The sequence below is a fragment of the Homo sapiens genome, chromosome 3 (assembly GCF_000001405.40).
Source record: "Homo sapiens chromosome 3, GRCh38.p14 Primary Assembly".
Taxonomy (NCBI): Eukaryota; Metazoa; Chordata; class Mammalia; order Primates; family Hominidae; genus Homo; species Homo sapiens.
Genome location: NC_000003.12, coordinates 132,764,674 through 132,789,010, shown reverse-complemented (window position 1 = coordinate 132,789,010; position 24,337 = coordinate 132,764,674). Strand labels below are relative to the sequence as shown.

The 24,337-nt window shown below is 38.7% G+C and overlaps 2 long non-coding RNA genes across 2 annotated transcripts in view; one reads left to right on the top strand and one right to left on the bottom strand.

Annotated features, from left to right (window-relative positions):
* Positions 1 to 12,305, top strand: part of LOC105374115 (uncharacterized) — a 28,010-nt gene extending 15,705 nt beyond the window's left edge. The window contains exon 3 of the long non-coding RNA XR_924500.3: positions 7,133 to 12,305. This is a non-coding gene — a long non-coding RNA (uncharacterized LOC105374115). The remainder of the gene's footprint in view (positions 1 to 7,132) is intronic.
* NPHP3-AS1 (NPHP3 antisense RNA 1) overlaps positions 1 to 24,337 on the bottom strand; it is a 152,462-nt gene that overhangs the window by 85,201 nt on the left and 42,924 nt on the right. The window lies entirely within an intron of this gene.

Sequence of the window (24,337 nt, the reverse complement as noted above, 5' to 3'; positions counted from 1 at the left end):
TCTTCTAATTTAAATTACCTCCCAAAGGCCCTACCTCCTAATACCATAACATTGTGGATAGGGTTTCAACATATGAGTTTTGGGGGAACAGATACACACCTCAAAATAATAACAGCCATCTATGACTGTGTGGGTACACAGTAGGTGTATATATTTATGGGGTGCATTTGTTATAGACTAAGATATCATATTCCTATTCTAATGGCTGGCTGTATTTTCCAAGGCAATTAACTCAAAAGAATATTATTTAAAGAATCTGGTATATGAGGGCCTCTAGACACCTTGACACGAAACTTCTAAAAACATAATGCAAGATGAAAAACCTTTGAAAGCCTCTTCTCTTCAGAGCTGAACTGAGGAGTCACATCAGGCTAGAAAATGGTTCTGGGACTAAGCCAAGCTTTGAGCTGTCAGAGGAAAGGCTACATTGAAACAGAATTGCATCATCTCTGGGAACTCAGTGTTAACTGGTATAAACCAACATTATTGTTCTTAAATGTTCTCATGAGAAAAGAACATTTAAACTACTAATGTGATTTTCTTCTCCTCACACTCTTTCCTTATCCCAGGGAGGAAAATATTTATCCTTCTTACATAATTTGCTCTTCCTTATGTTGCCAAATGCCTTGTGATAGTATTACACTTGACAGATATCTTATTGAGAAGTTGCCAGCAACCAAAAGATAATTAGCTTAGTCTTCCAAGCATATAAAAAACCAGAGTGGACTATGCACAATAAATTGGAAATAGTGTCTAACTCCTCATATTTCAACGAAATTCACTGGGGTTATGAACAATTCTGCATCTTAAAGAATGCTTTGTGCAATAGAATTTTTTGCTGAAAGGAGATAAGCCCTTATTTATAAGAGGATAGAAGTAGAGAAGGACTACACAGTTGTCTTTGTCAGCTTGGAGTGCCATAACAAAATATGATAGACTGAGTGGCTTGAACAACAACTTTTTATTTCTCGGAGTTTTGCAGACTGGAAGTCTGAGATCAGGGTGCCAGCTGATTTGGTGGCTAGTGAGGGCCCTCTTCCAAGGTTGCTTCTCCTTGTAAAATCATGTGGAGAAAAGAGGGTGAGCTAGCTTTCTTATAAGGGAACTAATTCCACTCCTCAGGGTTCCACCCTCATGATCTAATTAGCTCTCAAAGGCCCCATCTGCAAATACTGTCACACTGGGGATTAGATTTCAACATATGAACTTGGGGGAGACACAAACATTCAGTCCATAGCAACAGGGAATCAACAAACATTTGTGAGATGTCCACTTGGTCAGGCACAGTGCCAAACTCCAAGAATATAAAGAAGGGTGAGACCTAAGGAAATTAACAGTCTCACAAAGAGAGGAGAGGGGATTTTGTACAGCAACTCTTGCAGTGAGCAAAAAGAGATCAGTTTAAAAACAAAACCCATATGATCATCTCAATTGACACAGAAAAAGCATTCAATAAAATCCAAAATCCCTTCATGATAAAAACCCTCAATGAACTGGACATCAAAGGAATACACCTCAAAATAATAACAGCCATCTATGACAAACCCATAGCCAACATCCCATACTGAAGGTTAAAAAGCTGGAACAAGACAAGAATGTCACTTTGGGAGGCTGAGGCAGGCAGATCACTTGGGGTCAGGAGTTCAGTACCATCCTGGCCAACATGGTGACACCTCATCTCTACAGAAAACACAAAAATTAGCAGGCTGTGGTGGTGCGCATCTGTGGTCCCAACTACTCGGGAGGCTGAGGCACAAGAATTGCTTGAGCCTGGGAGGCAGAGGTTGCAGTGAGCCGACATGGCACCACTATACTCCAGACTGGGCAACAGAGTGAGGTTCCATCTCAAAAAAAAAAAAAAAAAAAAAAAAGACAATGTCACTTTCACCACTCGTATTCAACACAGTACTGAAAGTCCTAGCCAGAGCACTCAAGAGACATATAAGTAAAGGGCATCCAAATAGAACAAGAGGAAGTCAAATTATCTCTTTGCTGATAACATTCTATACCTAGAAAACCCTAAAGATTCTGCCAAAAGATTCCTAGACAAGATAAACAACTTCAGCAAAGTCTCAGGATACAAAATCAACACACAAAAAAAGTGGCATTTCTTTTTCTTTCTTTCTTTCTTTCTTTCTTTCTTTCTTTCTTTCTTTCTTTCTGTCTTTCTTTCCTTCGTTCCTTCTTTCTTTCTGACAAGATCTCACTCTGTAGCTCAGGCTGGAGTGCACTGGCATGATCCTAGTTCATTGCAGCCATCTCCTGGGCTCAAGTGATCTTCCAACCTCAGCTTCCTGAGGAGCTAGGACTACCAATTGTATACACCAATAACATTCAATCTGAGAACCAAATCAAGAACGCAATCCCATTTACAATAGTCCAAAAAAATGAAATACCTAGGAATATACCTAACCAAGCAAGAAGGTGAAAGATCTCTACAAAGAGAACTACAAAACACTGCTGAAAGAAATCATAGATGACACAAGCAAATGGAAAAGCATTCCATGTTCATGGGTTGGAAGAAAAAACATCGTTAAAATGTCCATAATGCTGAAAGCCATCTACAGATTCAATGCTATTTCTGCTACATTTCCAACGTCATTTCTTACAGAACTAGAAAAAACTGTGCTGAAATCCATATGGAACCAAAAAAGAGCCCGAACAGCCAAATCAATCCTAAGCAAAAGAACAAAGCTGGAGGCATCATATTACCTGACTTCAAACTGTACGACAAGGCTACAGTAACCAAAACAGCCTGATACTGCTACAAAAATAGATACATAAACAAATGGAACACAATAGAGACCCCTGAAATAAAGCCACACACCTACAACCAATTCACCTTCAAAAAAGTCCACAAAAATAAACAAGGGGAAAGAACATCTTATTCAATGAATGGTGCTGGAAAAACTGACTAACTATATATGCAGAAGAATTAAACTGGACCCCTACCTCTCACCATGTACAAAAATTGACTCAAGCTGGACTACAGATTAAATTTAAAACCTTGAACTATAAAAATTCTAAATTCCTAAAACCTCAAACTATAAAAATAAAAATTCTAGAAGAAAACCTAGGAAATGCTCTTATAGACATTGGCCTAGGCAAATAATTTATGATGAAGACCCCAAAAGCAAATGCAACAAAATCATAAATAGGACTTAATTAAACTGAAGCACTTCTGCACAGCAAAAGAAACTCTCAATAGAGCAAACAGAAAACCTTCAGAATAGGAAAAAGTTTTGCAAACTAGGCATCCAACAAAGGACCAATATCCAGAATCTATAAGGTACTTAGTGGAATCAACAAAAAAAAACCAAACAACTCTTAAACAGTGAGCAAAGGACGTGAACAGACAGTTTTCAAAAGAAGACATAAGCAGCCAACAAGCATATGAAAACCTGCTGAACATCACTAATCATCAGACATGCAAATCAAAACCACAATGAGATATTATCTCATACCAGTCAGAATGGCTATTATTAAAAAGTCAAAAAATAACACGTGCTGGCCATAAAAAAGAATGAGGTCATCTCCTTTGCAGGAACATGGATGAAGCCAGAGGCCATTATCCTTAGCCAACTAACACAGGAACAGAAAACCAAATAGCTCATGTTCTTACTTATAAGCCGGAGCTAAATGATAAGAACACATGGACATACAGAGGGGAACAACACACACTGGGGCCTATCAGAGGGTAGAGGGTGGTAGAAGGGGAAATAACTAATGGGTACTAGGCTTAATACCTGAGTGATGAAATAATCTGTACAACAAATCCCCATGACACAAGTTTACCTATATAACAAACTTGTACATGTACCCTTGAACTTAAAATAAACGTTATTTTTTAAAAAGTATGGGCAGAGATTGCCTGGAACCTGAAACTATTTTTATCGCCATAACTGAAATATTTATAAAAATTAGGGAAGGTTCATTACCATTATTCTTTATTGTTGATATGTACCCCTTTTGAGTAATCTCAAATGACTGCATGCAATATCATTTATTCATTTATTAAATAAATATTCCTTGGCCTGTAAAAGCAGAATAAATATGAACTATCTGCCTTAAAAAAATAAAAAATAACAGATGCTGGTGAAGTTATCAGAAAAGGGAATGTCTATACACTCTTGGTGGGAATGCAAATTAGTTTAGCCTCTACAGGAAGCAGTTTGGAAATTTCTCAAAGAACTAAAAATAGAACTACCAGTTGACTCAGCAATGCTATTACTAGATATATACCCCAAGGAAAATAAATTGTTCCACCAAAAAGATGCATGCACTTGTATGTTCATCACAGCACTGTTTATAATAGCAAAGACATGGAATCAACCTAGGTGCCCATCAAGGGTGGATTGCATAAAGAAAATGTGGTACGTGTACACCATGGGATACTATGCAGGCTTAAAAAAAGAATACATTCATGTCCTTTGCAGCAACATGGATGCAGCTGGCAGCCATTATGCTAAGACAACCAATGGAGAAACAGAAAACCAAATATTGCATGTTCTCACTTATAAGTGGGTGCTAAATCTTGGGTTCACAGGGACATAAAGACAGGAGCAATAGACACTGGGAACTCCAAAAGGAGGGAGGGAGGGAGGGAGGGAAACAAGGGCTAAAAAACTTCCTGGTGAGTATATGTTCACTTTCTGGTATATGTTCACTGTAGAAGCCCAAACCTCAGCACCACGCAACATACCTTTTTAACAAACCTGCATGTATATGACACGGTGAAATCCCATCTCTACTAAAAATATAAAAACTAGCTGGGCATGGTGGTGGGTGCCTGTAATCCCAGCTACTAGGGAGGCTGAGGCAGGAGAATTGCTTGAACCCAGGAGACGGAGGTTGCAGTGAGCCGACACGGGGCCACTGCACTCCAGCCTTGGCGACAGAGTGAGACTCCGTCTCGAAAAATAAAAATAAAAAAAGTGAAAATTTTTAAAATAAAAATTTTAAAAAGAGATGAGTGTGTGTGTGTATTATATACATATATATGTATATAATATTAATTCCCAATGTTGTCCAGGACTAACAGCCTCAGCATCAGCTGGGAACTTGTTAGAACGGCAAATTCTCAGTCCCTACCCTATACCTACTAAATCAGAAACTCTGAGAGTGGAGCCCAGCACTAACCCCCAGGTGATTCTGATGCATGTTAATGTTTGGAAACTACTGATTTAGCAAAACACTTCTTCCTTTAGCATATGTAGAGAGAAGCAGGGTAAGAGGGAAATGATGGACAGGTGTCTGGAATCAGGAGGGAGTGGTGTAAGTTGCACTAGAACACACTGGTTGGAAGAAAAGGAAAGAAAGCAGCTCACTTTAGACCATACATAAGGGAGGATGATACTACTCAAAGGCAAAGAACTTGTGTCACTCTTTCATTCTGAAGGTACAATGGCAACTTCCAAAAGCAACCAACTCAAAGACAATCTGTAGTCTTCTGTTGTGGATATAGGATGACTTTATGCTCTTCCAAAACTCAAACTGTGACATAATTGAAAAATATGGTTATTAGGCACCTGCTTGTTCATCACTGTGAATTTAAGGACATTTATAGAGGACACATCTGAGCATATGGTCTGCCTCTTCCTCATTGTAAGTTGTTGGCAACATAGCTGCTCACAGCTTGGTATGCTGTGTTAGCACTAGCATAAGAATTTAAGGAATGCCATTCTGTGCCAGCTAGTCCATCTGAGATTCCTGGCTAAGATAGACCCCCAAGGGGAACTTTGTGAAGAAGGCAGAATTCTTTAAAACTTAAAATTGTAAGTTAGTGATGTACTCAAACACCCCCAAAACCTCCCTAATCTGAGTCTATTTTGAATAAATGACCTAAATCTTCAGCCAATTTATACTTTGTCTTCACTTCTTCTTAAGGTGGCGATTTCTCTCGGTTGACTTTCTATGCAAAATAGGACAATTTCTCTTCCTACTAACTTTAATTATTTTGGTTTTGACCTTCAAAGAAGGGTCCCAGTTCTAATACACAAGATTTGATAAACAAGACCTGTTCGAACTATCCTTACTTGATTTTATAAATTTTGGTCATGTCTCCACGGCCTTTCACTTTATAGACTAGAAAATGTTTTAGTTTTCTCCTGAAAAGAATCCATTTGGGCCAGGTGTGGTGGCTCTGGCTGGGCTTGGTGGCTCACACCTGTAATCCCAGCACTTCGGGAGGCCAAGGCGGGCAGATCACTTGAGGCCAGGAGATCGAGACCAGCCTGACCAACATGGTGAAACCCCGTCTCTACTAAAAATACAAAAATTGGCTGGGTGTGGTGGCATATGCCTGTAATCCCAGCTACTCAGGAGGCTGAGACATGAGAATGGCTTCAACTGGGGAGGCGGAGGGTAAAGTGAGCTGAGATTGCGCTACTGCACTCTAGCCTGGGTGACACAGCGAGACTTTGTCACAAAAGAAAAAAAGAATTCATTTGAAGAAAAGATTAGACTTGAATCCAGATTACCTGGACTTGAATTTCAGCCTTCTCACTTACTAGCTAAATGAATTTGAGGAAATTAATCTCTGAATCAGTATCTTCATCTATAAGTGGCAATACCAACAAGTATTTCACTTGACAATTATGAAGATGAAATAAGATAATACATATATTAGCCAGGGCACAGATTAAGCTGCTATAACAAAGAACACCTAAAATAGAGGGGTTTAAATAAGATAGAAATATATTTCTTATGTAATATTCCAGAGATAATGGACAATTCAGGACTTACAGCTTCCTCTACATTCTCAATCTGTAGCTTTCATTTGTGGATAGGTTGACTTCCAACCAGCAGCATAGAGGAAAGAGACAGTGGTGGCAAGAGCTTCCTTTTAAAGACATAACCCAGGAACCACAAACATCCTGCTGCTTATGTACCATTGGCCAGAATGTGGTCATGTGGCCATATCTAGCAACAAGAGAAATTTAGTCTCTATCTGGATGGCCATATGCTCAGTTAAAGTTATGGAAGATGTGGTCTATTACTAAAAGGAAGAAGGAGAGAATGGACATTGTGGGGGTCGTGAGCAATTTATGTTAGCTACTCTCTCACTATTACATAAATTTCCATTATGGGTTTAAAAAAACTTGACATTTTATTTCTGATCCCCTTCTTACAGACAAAAAAGTCCATATAGCCAGCACCTTCAAGAAGCAGAAGATGAGTTTCTGAAGACAGAAGACCATGTCTCATTCATCTGAACATCTCCAGAACCTAACACAGAATTATTCTTAAAAAATATTTGTCAAAGTGAATTACAGTCATTCCTAGAGCCCTTAACTGGGTTAAACCCCTTTAGTGACATGTGGATTATAGACTTTCCAAATTTTAAGGAACTGTACTATACCATATAAATAGCACCATTGGCCATGCTTACCATATGATCCAATAGGTTGCACAGTGAAGCTCTGTAGTATGCTCTTGCTATGTGATTTTTTTTAATTTTACTTTAAGTTCCAGAATACAAGTGCAGAACATGCAGGTTTGTTACATAGGTATACATGTGCCATAGTGGTTTGCTGCACCTATCAACACATCATTCTAGGTTTTAAGCCCCACATGTATTAGCTATTTGTCCTAATGCTCTCCCTCCCCTTGCCCCTCACCCCCCGCCACTGGCCCCTGTATGTGCTGTTCCCCTCCCTGTGTCCATGTGTTCTCATTGTTCAACTCCCACTTATGAGAACATGCAGTGTTTGGTTGCTACGTGGTATTTTTGAGGAGAAAATAGTAATATATTTTTTAAAACGGACTCTAAAAGCAGGGTTATGTACTCTCAAGCTGAAGATTTAAATCACACACGAAGTCATTAATTTTTAAAAATGCTTTTCATCCATTTTCTTGGCAGTCAGAGAAAACCTACTGCAGAAGCAGCCATTGGGAACCATTGCCTGGCCTATGCAGCTATGTAGCAATATTTTGTGAGCTATCTTTCTTTATAACTTGTCCCAGAATAGACCTGTTTTGCCTGAGACTGGGCAAACCAACTGAAAGGATTCAAAGTCTCTCAAATCCCAGATATTATATGTTATTTGTGGTTGCACGAGGTGTGCAGTCTGGGAAATTTTGACTTAATTAGAAACAGGAAGAAAACCTAGCTGGGGACTGGAAAGGAATTTTCCATTATTGGGCATCTATTCTGTGTCCAGCATTGTGCTGGGGGACATTCAAGCATGTTATTTAATTTAATTCTGATATAAACCTTAAATGAGACAAACATTGTTACAGGAAATTTTTTAGGAACAAAGAAGTTAAATGACATACAAGATCACTGCTGCACATTGGGTTTCTTGGAAGCAGACTTTGAGATGGAGATTTGTGATCAGAAAATTTGTTAGGGAATATTCTCAGGCTCAGCATCTGGAGGGGAAGAGCAAGAGGCAGGACAGGCAGAGGGAGAAGCTGGGCTTCAGTGTGGTTCCAATAAGGCCTCAGCTTATCTGATAGAGAGCCCTAGAGCTGTCATGACCCTTAAGAGATGTTCTGAGTTGGGATGAGGGGACTGGAATTTTACGCTCTCATGTCAGCCAGTTGGATGAAGTCTGAAGCAATTGTAGCACCTGGGGGGAAGTAAGTTCTTCAGTCCTGAATAGAGATCAGAGCAACATATCACAGAGTCTGCTATAGTCAACCAGCCTGGAAGTAACAAAGCTAGCATATGAATACAGCTTTGACTTCAAAGCTCATGCACTTTTCCACTCACTTGAGTCAATAGGCAATCAGCCAGTTAAGTACCCATACATTTTACCATTTTAGAAAAGGGCAAATAATTAATAATAATAATAATTTGCATCCTGGTTTTGGAAATATGGCCTTGGTGTCTTGACATCATGAAAATTCTCCAAATTTTATATAGATAATTCAACCTTGGATCTATTATCATCTTTTATGATAAACACCTTTTTTAAAATTATTCACAAAAATTTCCTTACTTCTTAAACTAGGTTCAACTAAAACAATATGCTGAAGACTTAAAACATACTGAATCTAAGTTGATTCATTATATAACTTCCAAATGTTTCATCTTAGAATTCAGGAATAATTTAATAGCATAACTTGTGCCAGATGTGTGGCATTCATTTTTAAATATTTTTGATTCACCTAAGACCTAATAGCTAAGGACAGATATTGGTTTAGAACTCCCAGGAGAAAAAATGCACAGGAACTCAGAAAGCCTTAATGAAATGCATGTGCTCCTCATCTTGATATGGAAATCCAAAAAGTGTAGCTAAAATCTATCAGCCATGTTCTTCAACTTGTACGTTGTCATGATTGAGCTGATGTAAAACCCATGGCAGATAAAGCATTCATCCATTCAACAAACATGTAACAGAGGACCTATGGTATGCAAGGATCAGTGTTTAGTACTCTAAGCATCCTACCCATGACTTCACTCTTCCAAGAAATTTGGTCTGCTTTCCAGCTGCATCATAACAGCATCTTTTTCCTGCCTTGTTTTAAAGCAAGCAATCATTCTATGTAACAAGTAAAACCAAATATCCTCGTCAACTGCCTTCACATGCAAATTTTCCTCAGCTTATGATGGGGTTACAGCCTGATAAATCCTTCATAAGTTGAAAATACCGTAAGTTGAAAATATATTTAATATGTCTAACCTGCTGAACATGATAGCTTAGCCTAGCCTATGTTAAATGTTATCAGAACACTCCCATTAGCTTACAGTTGGGCAAAATCATCTAACACAAAGCCTATTTCATGATAAAGTGTTGAATATATCATGTAATTTATTGAATACTGTACTGAAAGTGAAAAACAGAATGCTTGTGTAGGCACGTGAAATACAGTTTCTACTGAATGCATATTGCTTTCAGCACCATGGTAAAGTAAAAAAATCATAAATCAAGGGCCCTCTGTATATGTACAATTATTATAGATTTGGATGGTATAAAATTTTGCAATTTGTGTTTAGGAAAATCAAAAGTACTGGCATTTTTGTTCTTTCTCCCTTTCAAGCTAGTATGAGAAAAAAAGCAAGTAATGTATTCCAAAGTGTACACTGAAAAAGACTGAGATTATTTAAGGACATCTGAAAAGATTTTTCACTTACATATGGCATTATATCATAATTTAGGTCTGCCCTCTACCACATTATTGCTGCCCCAGGCACTGAAATGTTTTCTTTCCTGTAGTGCAGTGGTTCTCATAGTGTGGTTCCCAGACCAGCAGGTATCAATGTCACCTGAAAACTTATTAGAAATGCAAATTATTGGATCCCTCCCCAGATCTACTAAATCAGAAACTCTGGGGGTGGGGCTCAGCAATACGTGTGTTAATAAGTTGTGCATAATTTTCATGCATGCTAAAGTTTCAGAACCATGGTTTTAAGGTTATATATTAAATCATGTTTTTCAATTTCCATTCAATAAATGTTTATTTGGGGTCATGTAATAAGTGCTACACATTATTCAACCTTTGCCAATGGCACTCATGCATCATATACAGTTTTTAAAATATATTTATGTCCATTTTTAGCATGATATTACATATCATGTATGCTGGGCACAATCGTGTTTTCTCAAGCTCACCAGGTGATTTTGATGCACTCTCAAGCTTGAGAAGTACACTGTAACTCATTATCCATTAGTCCTGGCCAAAACAGAAACCTGGTATAAGCCACAGCAATAAGTAGGAATGTTGTACTCATCTTTAAAGACAAGAGGCAAACAAAGATCTAAGAATTCTTGGCAGCACAGAGCATCTTGCTGCATTTTCAGGCAATGAAGTCTATCAGCTAAAGTAGTGGATTCTGCATAAGAACACATGGGTTTGAGTCTTGGTTCTTTGACCTCCTGGCTGTAACTTCTTAGGAGGTCATTTAATCTTCATCATAATTTGTTTCCTCATCTATGAAAATAGGACTTTGCCTTGGAGATCTCTATGGTGACTTTCAGCTCTAAGTTCTGTGATTCCAAGCATCTCAATCAATATGTATATTATTATCATTTTGGAGACGACCATATTACCATTTGTTTCCACTTCATGCTACTACTTAAAAGCATATCAAAAATCTCTTATAACTCAATAAGAGAAAGGGCAATTAAAAAATGAGTAAAAGATCTGAGTAGACATTTATCCAAATAAGATAATATACAAATGGAAAATAACCATATGAAAAGATGCTCAACAGACAGACAGAGAAGAAGGATGGTTACCAGAGCCTGGGAACGGTACTGGGGGCTAGAGGAGAGCTAGCGATGATTAATGGGTACAAAAAAGAGTTAGAAAGAATGAATAAGGTCTACTATTTGATAAGCACAATAAAGTGACTATGGTCAGCAATAACAATTGTACATTTTAAAAATAATGAATGTAACTGGATTGTTTGTAACTCGAAGGATAAATACTTGAGGGGATGGATACTCCATTCTTCATGACATGCTTATTTCACATTGCATGCCTGTATCAAAACATCTCATGTACCCCATAAATATATACACCCACTATGTACCCACAAAAAAATTTAAAAATTAAAAAAAAATTTTAAAGATGCTCAACATTATTATCATCAGATAAATGCCATTCAAAACCACAACGAGATACCACTTCATACCCCTTAGAATGACTAAAATAAAAAAGACTGACAATAACACGTGTTGTGGAGGATGTGGGAAGAACTCAGAATCCCAATACATAGCTAGTGGGATTGTAAAATTATGCAGCTGCTTAGAAAACAGTTTAGCAATTCCTCAGTTAAACATAGACGTTCTACATAACCCAACAGTTCTACTTCTAGATGTATACCCAAGAGAATTGAAAACATTAAGTTAAAAAAGTTCTACACAAATGTTCATAGCAACACTATTCACAGCAGCTAAAACGTGGAAACAATACAAACATCTATCAATGATGAATGGGTAAATAAAATGTGGTCTTACCCATACAATAGAACATTCTTCAATAATAAAAAGAATGATATATGAATACACATTACAATATGGATGAACCTCCAAAATGTACTAATTGAGAGAAGACAGTCACAAAAACTACATATTTTATGATTCCATATTTATGAAGTGTCCAGAAGAGGCAAATCCATAGACACAGAAAGTAGTTTCCTGGTTACCTAGGGCTGGAAACACTTTGGGGAAGTGGAGGAGGGGTGTGATTGCTAAAGGGTATAGGTTTCTTTTGAGATGCTGAAAATATTCTGAAATTAATTGTGGTGACAGTCGCACAATTTTGCAAATATACTGAAAATCATTAAATTATGCTAAAAATGGGTGAGCTGTATGGTATGTAAATTAGATCTCAATAAAGCTGTTACAAAGAAACAACAGTATATCTGAACTTTCTCCCCTGCACCACCTCTCCTCTCATCATATCCAGTGACAATCAATGAGATACTGAACTAATGCCTTGACAACTATAGTAGTCTGGAATGATAGTGCCATCCTACTGTATCTCATTCATTATTTTAATACTCAAGCAATTTGGATGCAGTATAGACGGCCAACACATAATTCTATGTTGCTGTTATTCAAACCCAAACTCCTAACAGAAGACATTTCTAGGTCTTATTCGCTCTTCTTTTTTTTTTTTAGACAGAGTCTCACTCTGTCACCCAGGCTGGAGTGCAGTGGCGCGATCTCAGCTCACTGTAACCTCTACCTCCCAGGTTCAAGCGATTCCCGTGCCTCAGCCTCCCAAGAAGCTGGGATTACAGGCATGTGCCACCACTCCTGGCTAATTTTTGTATTTTTGGTAGAGACGAGGTTTCACTGAGTCACCCAAGCTGGTCTCAAAATCCTGAGTTCGAGTGATCCGCCCACCTTGGCCTCCCAGGCAAGAGCCACTGTGCCTGGCTTTTTTTTTTTTTTTTTTTTCTTACTCATTAACCACTCCCACCTCTCTCCCACCCCCCACTACCCTTCCCAGCCTCTGGTAACCATCCTTCTATTCTCGATCTCCATGAGTTCAATTGTTTTGATTTTTAGATCCCACAAATAAGTGAGACACAACAGGGGGCCTATAGTCAATAATATTTTAATTGCACCTTTTAAAATAACTAAAGGAGTGTAATTAGATTGTTTGTAGCACAAAGGATAAATGCTTGAGGGAATAGATACCTAATTTTTTCATGATGTGGTTATTACGCATTGCATGTCTGTACCAAAATATCTCATGTACCCCATAAATATATATACCTATGTAATCACAAAAATTAAAAATAAAAAAATACATATTCTAGAAAGACATTTACTAAGATGAATGCTAGAAGCTGGCTTTTTAAAAATTTTTATACTGGAAGTGACCATTGTCAGTTAATGGCACATGATGAATTGGGCATAAACAGGACATCCACAGAATGAGCAAACATTTTTCAATTCTTTCTTTAATCCTTGAATTCATTCAGTGTGAATTTTTAAACTGAATATGAGGGTTTGCAAAAGGAAACTTTATCCTTTCTGAAGCTCACTAATTTTTAAGTTCACACACATAAAAATGATGCTTTGAAAACCTTCGCTAAATTATGCACATGAAAATAAACAACAATCTAGGAAGCAAATTTCTCAAAGTCTACAATGATGAGGCTAATCACAATCATAAATTGAGCCTTATAGAGCACGCCAAATGTCTGCAGCAATTACACCTACCTGTTTCATTTGCCCGAGCTTCAGGTAGGCCAAAAGACATTCACTGTGAAAGTCACCATGACTGATTTTTCTTTAATCAAATCAGAAATGTAAATTTCCTTTTCTAATAACACAGGGCCAGAGGAGATGATTTTCATTATAGAAAGGGCTGTGGATGCATGAGGACATTCTAGAAATCTGGGCCAAATAGTATTTTTAGACATCAAGAGCTAGTGAGAATTTGTGTTACTTAACTGCATTTTACAGTAAAACAAAATCTATAAGATGTCAGAGCATAAATAGTTGATTCCTGATATTTTATTATGGCCTATGCTATCGGACCGACCAGAAATCACACATTTAGAGACTGCCCTTTGTATAAATGTAAACACTTGAAGGGATGAGGGACTGCATTAAGAAGCTGAAAATTATAGACTCTATCCACATACACTCAAAAGGTAAGCAACCATAAATTTTTGCATATAATTTCACAAACATACCCCAAGAGTGTTCTATAGATACCAGATTAAGAATCCATGAAAATGTTAAAAAAAAAAAGAAAAGAAAAGAAAAGAAAGAATCAGTGATATCATGAACATACCCATGGCTACATTGAAAACTATCTGACAACACCAAATGTTGGCAAGGATATGGAATCCCTCATACACTTTCGGAAACTGGCAGTTTCTTTAAAAGTTAAATGTGCATCATCTACACTATGACCCAGCAATTCCAGTCCTATGTATTTTTCTAGAAGAAAGGAAAACAGAAGCTTTTACAATGACTTGCATAAGACTGTTCTTAGTTTTTTTCTTGATAGTTAAAAACTAGAAATAATACAAATGGTCATCAACAGTACTATGGATAAAGAAATTATGGCATATTTATACAATGGAATCTTCAAAAAAAATTCTAATGTTACTTATATCCACAACAATATGATTAAATTTCCAAAACATGCTGAATGAAAGAAGCTAAACACAAGAGAATACAAATTTCTAGAACAGACCAAACTAATACAAAGCAATAGTAACCAGATCAATGGTTATTTCTGAAGGGAGCGATGGTCTAGAAGGGCACAGGGAACTTTCTCAGGTGACAGAGATCTTCAATATCTTGATAGTGATATGGGTTACACAGGTATACGCATTTGTCAAAAGTGATTGAACTGTTTACTTAAGACTTGTACATTTCACTTTATGAGGAATAAACCTCAATAAAAATATGTTTTAGAAAACATGAATTGGAGATCTGTAAGTATCAGTATAAGTGAGAGAATTCATACTTTTACTACATGTTTAGGCATTGTTAGTAAAAGCACTGGACGATATGGAAAGTTGTTTTTTTAATCATGGGGACATTCTATTTGAATGTATAGCTGTAGACAGAAAAGATGACACCTCTGACAGAAATATAATTTTGTACTTTTGTACAATTTATTTGGCATTTTCCTACATCTCTCATTTGATTTTCATGTCAACTCAGGCATTATAATCACACCCGCCACCCTACTGCTGCCATTGTGCAGATGAAGATACTGAGGTTCCGAAAGGTTGAAGGTTGTACCCAAGGTCACACAGTCCATTTGTGGCAAAGCTGAGACCAGAACCCTTATTTTTTAAAGAAAGTTAAGTGTTCACTTTACTCTTATTCTTTTGGAGAAGGAAAACTTACAATAGCCAGAGAAACATATGATTTAGACTCCAGAAATACAAATATTATTTAGTGAATTAAAACTCCAATGTGTCTGATACACACTGTAAAGCGCCTCTAGAGCCCCTTTTAATTTGGGCTCAAGAATACTTTGTTCACTGAAAAAGCATGGCTGGCCATGTTAAAAACTCTGAGTTAGTTTGGGTTTCTCTGTTACTCAGTATCAAGATTTACTAAGAATGGTAAGGACACAGTAATTAAGAGGCTGTGATGGTTAACTTTATGAGTCAACTTGACTGAGTCACAGGGTGCCCAGACATTTGGCCAAGCATTATTCTAGGGGTGTCTGTGAAGGTGTTTCTGGATGAGGTTAACGTTTAAATCAGTAGACTAAATAAAGCAGATTGCTCTTCCTAATGTGGCTGGGCCTCCACAAGTCAGTGGAAAGCCTGAATAGAACAAAAGGCTGACCCTCCTCTGAATAAGAAGGAATTCCTCTGGCCTGACTGCCTTGAACTGGGACATCAGGTCTTTCTTGTCTTCAAACTCTGAAACATTGGCTCTTTCTGGATCCCAAGCCTGCTAGCATTTGGACTGGAACTACCCCATTGGCCCTCCTGTATTTCCAGCTTGTTGACTGCAAATCTTGGGACTTGTCATTGCCCGCCTCCATAATGGCATGAGACAGTTCTTAAAATAAATCTGTATGTAAGTCTCTTCATTGGTTCTGTTTCTCTGGAGAACCTTGACTAATCAAGAGTCCCAGGTGAAGCAGGGAGAGACCCAGTACATGGAGTGTGGTTCCCAGGTCATCCTCTCTGGGACAGACATGCATTCTCTGGCCCAGAGCAATGACAGGGTCTCTAAAGAGATTGGTAGATTACTTGATACAGTAGGGAGACTTGGGGTTATAAATCATCTCCATTTTATGCCCAGATCATTATAAGATTTAAACGAAATTGTCCAGGAAGCCAGGCCTTATAAATCCATAGATTCTACTTTAGTTTTCCATAAGCAATTCTAATCCAGGGTCATTCCTGCTAAAATGGACTCTCCTCCTAGCAAATCTCATTAGTTTATTTTCCAGAAGGTCAATTATAAGCATGTTTATAAGAAGATTACATTCAGCCATTTGCTTTCTTTGCTCCCAGGAGTATCCTCCTGGTACAAGGAGAGAAAAGCATCACAAGCCAGCTGCTTAATTCACTGCTTCCCCAGGATTGAAATCCAAGTGATACACCACAGACCACAGTCTAACTCCACCACATGCTAGTTCTCAGAATCTCAAACCATTGGTGGCTCCTCATGAGGAAACTGGCAAGCCCCTCAGAGAAGAGCCATCCCAAGGGTGAGGTAATTTGGGCCACAATGCTGGGAAAGAATTTAGGAAAGAACATTGGTGGGGGAGGAGGGGAGCTTGTGCTACATAAACAAAGAAATGAAATAGTAGAGTCCATTTATTGAAGGCTCACTAACATAAACTTAGAAGGGAATGTTACCTTTGTTTTACTCTTGTAGATCTGAGGCCCAGGGAGGTTGAGTAACTTGCTCAAGGTTCCACAATGAGTAAAAGGCAAAGCCAAGAGTTAAACCCAAAATAGTCTGAGGCCCAATCTCAACTCCAAACTGCCCGTTGCCCCTTTTTATACTACACTTTATGATGCTGGACCTGGAACTTTGCAAGCTGCATTTTGGTTTCCCAGCTGTTGGACTCTACCAGTGGGGACACTGGAGGAAGATAGCAAGGCTGGTGGAAGGAGAAAGGATGTGCTTTTGCCTGTTTGCCTCTTCTTCCTGTTAGTGTCACCCAGCAATGTCTCTTCACCCCAGCATTAGCAGCTTCTTTCTATAGCAGCAGCAGAATCCAATTTGCAGTCTCTCTGACACTTGAGAAACTACCTCATTGCCCCTTCAGAGACACCAGCACCAGCCAGCCTGGGCCTCCTCGTCAGGGGTGTGGGTCTCAGGCCCCAAGACCAGACTCTGAGTTTCTAAGTTTTAATTATTCTAACCTCTCCCCTCTGTTCCCCAACCTTCATGAAGGTAGCTGCATCCCGCAGTAGCTACATCCCTGACTCCTCTGTGTTCTCTTTTGTGCTTTTTCAATTACATAGTTCACAGTAGTTGAAGTGACTGGTGTGGTGTCTGTCTTCTGACCCTGACTGATACCTGTCTTCCTCTCCCATCCATTTTTGCTCTCTACTCCCAACCCACATTCTTCAAAACAAAGCAAGTGGGACCATTCCTCTCCTTTACACATGTCCTTCTCAGGGAAACTTGAATTTTATTTGGGGTGTGGAGTCTTAGGAAGGAAACTGAAGTTTATTGAGCTAGTGCTCTCTGGGCCTCTTTGGTCAAGCTCAAGACTTTGAGTATTCTTAGTTTGATATGTATTTTCACCAGCTTTATTGAGATATAATTCATGGAAAATAAACTGCATCTCTTCAAAAGGTACAGTTTAATGCATTTTGACATGTATACACCTGGGAAACAACTGAGGCAATCAAAATACAGAGCATTTTTATCACCCCCCGACATACAATTCTCTCAAGCCTTTTTTCAGTTCCCCCCTCCCTCCTCCTTGGACCCCAGGCAACCAGTCACTGATCTGCTTCCTGTCACTATAAATTACTTGACATTTTCTTAACTTTACGTAAATGGAATCATATAGTGTGTCATCTTTTATGTCTGGCTTTTTTCACTTAGCATAATGATTTTGTGATTCATTTATGCTGCCACATTTTCAAAGTTTAGTCCTTTTTCTTGCTAAGTAATAGTTCTTTGTACAGATGTACAATAGTTTGCTTATCCATTCACTTGCTGACTCACATTTGGGTAATTTCTAGTTTGGGGTTATTATGGCTAGAGGCTGAATACTTATGTATAAATCTTTGGATAGTAAATACCATCCAAAGACAAGTTATTTTTAAGTTTAGGTGTAACATACATACAGTAAATTATGTTTAAAAAAAAGTATGTAGATTGACAATTTCTCACACTCATATATCCCTGTGTAACACCACCCAGATTAAGACTTAAAACATTTTCAGTATCAAAAAAGGCCCCTCTGTGCCCCATTCTAGACAGCAGAGGTCACCACTATTCTGACATCTGTCTGCATTGATTACTTTTGCCTTTTTCGAACATCATATAATGGATTATAGAGTATGTGTGCACACTGTTGTGTCGGGTTTCTCTTGATCAACGTATGTCTATGAGATTCATTAGTGTTGTTATACATAGGTATAGCTTATTCTTATTGCAGTGTGGTGTTATATTGTGTGGATATACCACATTTATTTATCCATTCTGTTGATAGATATAAGGATTATTTCCAATTTTTTCTGCTATAAATATAGCTACTGTGGACATTCTTGTACATGTCTTTAGTGAACATATGTTCTCATTTTTTTCAAACTAGGGATGGGATTGTTGGGTCATAGGATAGACTTATGCTTAGCTTTCCAAAGTGGTTGTATCAATTTATACACCTACCACCAATGTAAGACAGTTTCAGTGACTCCGTGTCTTTGCCAATACTTGGTATTGAAGGTTTTTTAATTTTAGTCATTCTAGTGGATGTGTAGTGGGATCTCATTACATTTCCCTGACAAAAAAAAATATGTTGAGAGCATTTTCATGTACTTATTGGCCTTCTGGATATATTCTTTTGTGAAGTGTCTGTTCAAGGTTTGTTCATTTTTAATTGAGTTGCGTTCTTTATTATTGATTTGTAGGATATTTTACATATTCTGGATATAAACCCTTTGTTAGATATATGTATGGCAAATATATTTTCCTAGTCTGTGGCATGCATTTTCAATTTCTTTAATGTTTTTTAGTGATCAGAATTTCTAATTTTAATGAAGCCTAATTTATCAACCTTTGCTTTTATGACCTCTTTATAAAATCTTTGCCTATCCTAAGGTCTCTTAACATTCATTTAAGATGATTTTCTCATGTGAAATTTCAGGGATTCAAGGGCCAAGTTTCACATATTATATGAGCCACACTGGGCAGCCCTGATGTTCATATATAGGGGGAGGGAGCTTCTCACAAAATAAAGAGAAAAGAGAGCAGTTTGGGGCAAGAGGATAGAGACAAAGCTCAAGAGAGAAGGAAAGGATAAGAAGGGAGGTGGGAAAAATGGAAAGACAAAATGGACACAAGCAAAGAGGAAAATAGGAAGAGCATGAAGAAGAGAAGGGGTGCCTTCGCAGCCTGAGCAATACATGCCTCCTTCTCAGAAATCTGGGCACTCTGGCAAGATCAGAAGTCCCTTTCTCAGCCCTCTCAACCTTCCTGTTCTTCTCTGCACTCTGGCCAGTGAGCACCTGCCCTTGAAAAACATATTTTTAGAACATTGACTGATATTGTTATAAGAAATATTTATTTCTTGAGGATGTGCTAAGACATCATTATATTAATATGTGCTTCATGACACATCCAAGCTATGGTCAAGATCCAGAAATTAACCTGGACAAAATGTATAGTATTGATAAATGTGGGCTTTGGAGTCACATAAACATAGAAGCCATTGCTTACCTGCTCCTGTACTTGGGCAAGTTACACAACTCCTCTGAGTCTATGTTTCTTCATCTATTAAATAACTTTATTTTTTATTCATTCATTCAACATATATTTATTGAGAACTTGTTATGTATGAGGGACTGTTTTAAGCACTATGAATTAGTATATAAAGCTTATGAAATTATTTACTCTCAAAGGCCACACACACAGGAAGAGAGGATGTCAAACTATCCTTGTTTGCAGAAGACATGATCCTACCTCTAGAAAACCCCACAGTTGCAGCCCAGAAACTTCTTAAGCTGATAAGCAATGTCAGCAGTCTCAGGATACAAAATCAATGTGCAAAAATCACTAGCAGTCCTAATATACCAACAACACTCAAGCTGGGAACCAAATCAGGAATGAATTCCCATTCAAAATTGTCACAAAAAGAATAAAATAGCTAGGAATACAGCTAACTACAGAGGTGAAAGATCTCTAAAAGGAGAACTATAAAACACTGATCAAAGGAATGAGAGATGATACATGAATGGAAAAACATTCCATGCTCATGGGTAGAAAGAATCAATATTGTGAAAATGACCATACTGCCCCAAACAATTTATAGATTCAATGCTATTCCTATTTAACTACCATTGATATTCTTCACAGAACTAGAAAAAAACTATTTTAAAATGCATATGGAACCAAAAAAGAGCTCAAATAGCCAAGGCAATTCTGAGCAAAAAGAATAAAGCTGAAGGCATCACGCTACCCTACTTCAAACTATACTACAAGGCTACAGTAACCAAAATAGCATGGTATTGGTACAAAAATAGACACATAGACTAATGGAATAGCATACATAACCCAGAAATAAGACTGCACACCTACAATGATCTGAATCTTCAACAAACCTGACAAAAACAAGCAATAGGGAAAGGATTCCCTATTCAATAAATAGCGCTGGGATAACCTGCTAGTAATATGCAAATATGATTGAAACCGGACCCCCTCCTTACACCACACACAAAAATTAACTCAAGATAGATGAAAGACTTAAACATAAAATGCAAAACTTTAAAAACCCTGGAAGACAACCTAGGCAATACCATTCAAGACATAGGCATAGTCAAAGATTTCATGACTAAGATGCCAAAAGCAATTGCAAGAAAAGCAAAAATTGACAATGGGATATAATTAAACTAAAGAGTTTCTGCACAGCAAAAGAAACTACAACAACGTGAACAGACAACCTACATAATGAAAGAAAATTTTTGCAAACTATAGATTTGACAAACGTCTAATATCCAGGATCTATAAGGAACTTAAACAAATATACAGGAAAAAAAAAAACACAAACAACCCCATTAAAAAGTGGAGAAAGGACATGAACAGACACTTTTCAAAAGAAGACATACATGTGGTCAATAATCATATGAAAAAAAGCTCAATATCACTGATCATTAGAGAAATGCAAATCAAAACCACAATGAGGCCAGGCACAGTGGCTCATGCCTGTAATCCCAGCACTTTGGGAGGCCAAGGTGGGCAGATCACCTGAAGTCAGGAGTTCAAGACCAGCCTAACCAACATGGCAAAACCCCGTCTCTACTAAAAATACAAAAATTGGACTACTCTCTGTAGTCCCAGCTACTCTGGAGGCTGAGGCAGGAGAATCACTTGAACCTGGGAAGTGAAGGTTGCAGTGAGCCATCATGGTGCCACTGCACAGTCTGGGCAACAGAGTGAGACTCCATCTCAGGAAAAAAAAAAAAACAAAAAAACACCACAATGAGATACCTTCTCACACCCGTCAGAATGGCTATTAATAAAAAGTCAAAAAACAACATGCTGATGAGGTTGTGGAGAAAAAGGAACACTTATACACTGTTGGTGGGAGTGTAAATTAGTTTAACCACTGTGGAAGACAGTGTGGTGATTTCTCAAAGATCTAAAAACAGAAATACCATTTGAACCAGCAATCCCATTACTGATATATACACAAAGGAATATAAATCATTCTATTATAAAGACACATGCATGCATATGTTCATTGCAGCACTATGCACAATAGCAAAGACATGGAATCAACCTAAATGCCCATCAATGACAGACTGGATAAAGAAAATGTGGTACATATACACCATGGAATACTATGCAGCCATAAAAAGAATGAGATCATGTTCTTTGCAGGGACATGGGTGGAGCTGGAGGCTATTATCCTTAACAAACTAATGGAGGAACAGAAAACCAAATACCACATGTTCTCACTTGTAAATGGGAACTAAATGCTGAGAACACACAGACATATAAAGCAGAACAATATACACTGGGGCCTATCAGAGGACGAGGTTGGGAGGAGGAGGAAGATCAGGAAAAACAACTCTTAGGTACTAAACTTAATACTTGGGTGATGAAATAATCTGTACAAAAAATATCCCCATGACACAAGTTTACCTATGCAACTAACCTGCATATATATCCCTGAACTTAAAATAAAAGTTAAAAAAAAGAAAGAAATATTTACTCTCATGAAGCTTACCTTCTAACAGGGAGCAGACAATAAATAAGACAAAACAGTATGCTGGGAGGAGCCAAGATGGCCGAATAGGAAAAGCTCCGGTCTACAGCTCCCAGCGTGAGCGACGCAGAAGACAGTGATTTCCGCATTTCCATCTGAGGTACCAGGTTCATCTCACTAGGGAGTGCCTGACAGTGGGCGCAGGTCAGTGGGTGCACGCACCGTGCACGAGCCGAAGCAGGGCGAGGCATTGCCTCACTTGGGAAGCGCAAGGGGTCAGGGAGTTCCCTTTCCCAGTGAAAGAAAGGGGTGACAGAGGGCACCTGGAAAATCGGGTCACTCCCACCCGAATACTGCGCTTTTCCGACGGGCTTAAAAAACGGCGCACCACGAGATTATATCCCACACCTGGCTTGGAGGGTCCTACGCCCACGGAGTCTCGCTGATTGCTAGCACAGCAGTCTGAGATCAAACTGCAAGGCGGCAGAGAGGCTGGGGGAGGGGCACCCGCCATTGCCCAGGCTTGATTAGGTAAACAAAGCAGCCTGGAAGCTCGAACTGGGCAGAGCCCACCACAGCTCAAGGAGGCCTGCCTGCCTCTATAGGCTCCACCTCTGGGGGCAGGGCACAGACAAACAAAAAGACAGCAGTAACTTCTGCAGACTTAAATGTCCCTGTCTGACAGCTTTGAAGAGAGCAGTGGTTCTCCCAGCACGCAGCTGGAGATCTGAGAACGGGCAGACTGCCTCCTCAAGTGGGTCCCTGACCCCTGACCCCCGAGCAGCCTAACTGGGAGGCACCCCCCAGCAGGAGCACACTGACACCTCACACGGCAGGGTATTCCAACAGACCTGCAGCTGAGGGTCCTGTCTGTTAGAAGGAAAACTAACAAACAGAAAGGACATCCACACCAAAAACCCATCTGTACATCACCATCATCAAAGACCAAAAGTAGATAAAACCACAAAGATGGGGAAAAAACAGAACAGAAAAACTGGAAACTCTAAAACGCAGAGCGCCTCTCCTCCTCCAAAGGAACGCAGTTCCTCACCAGCAACGGAACAAAGCTGGATGGAGAATGACTTTGACAAGCTGAGAGAAGTCTTCAGACGATCAAATTACTCTGAGCTACAGGAGGACATTCAAACCAAAGGCAAAGAAGTTGAAAACTTTGAAAAAAATTTAGAAGAATGTATAACTAGAATAACCAATACAGAGAAGTGCTCAGAGGAGCTGATGGAGCTGAAAACCAAGGCTCGAGAACTACGTGAAGAATGCAGAAGTCTCAGGAGCTGATGCAATCAACTGGAAGAAAGGGTATCAGTGATGGAAGATGAAATGAAGCGAGAAGGGAAGTTTAGAGAAAAAAGAATAAAAAGAAATGAGCAAAGCCTCCAAGAAATATGGGACTATGTGAAAAGACCAAATCTACGTCTGATTGGTGTACCTGCAAGTGATGGGGAGAATGGAACCAAGTTGGAAAACACTCTGCAGGATATTATCCAGGAGAACTTCCCCAATCTAGCAAGGCAGGCCAACGTTCAGATTCAGGAAATACAGAGAACGCCACAAAGATACTCCTCGAGAAGAGCAACTCCAAGACACATAATTGTCAGATTCACCAAAGTTGAAATGAAGGAAAAAATGTTAAGGGCAGCCAGAGAGAAAGGTCAGGTTACCCTCAAAGGGAAGCCCATCAGACTAACAGCGGATCTCTCGGCAGAAACACTACAAGCCAGAAGAGAGTGGGGGCCAATATTCAACATTCTTAAAGAAAAGAATTTTCAACCCAGAATTTCATATCCAGCCAAACTAAGCTTCATAAGCGAAGGAAAAATAAAATACTTTACAGACAAGCAAATGCTGAGAGATTTTGTCACCACCAGGCCTGCCCTAAAAGAGTTCCTGAAGGAAGCACTAAACATGGAAAGGATTCGGTACCAGCCGCTGCAAAATCATGCCAAAATGTAAAGACCATCGAGACTAGGAAGAAACTGCATCAACTAACGAGCAAAATAACCAGCTAACATCATAATGACAGGAT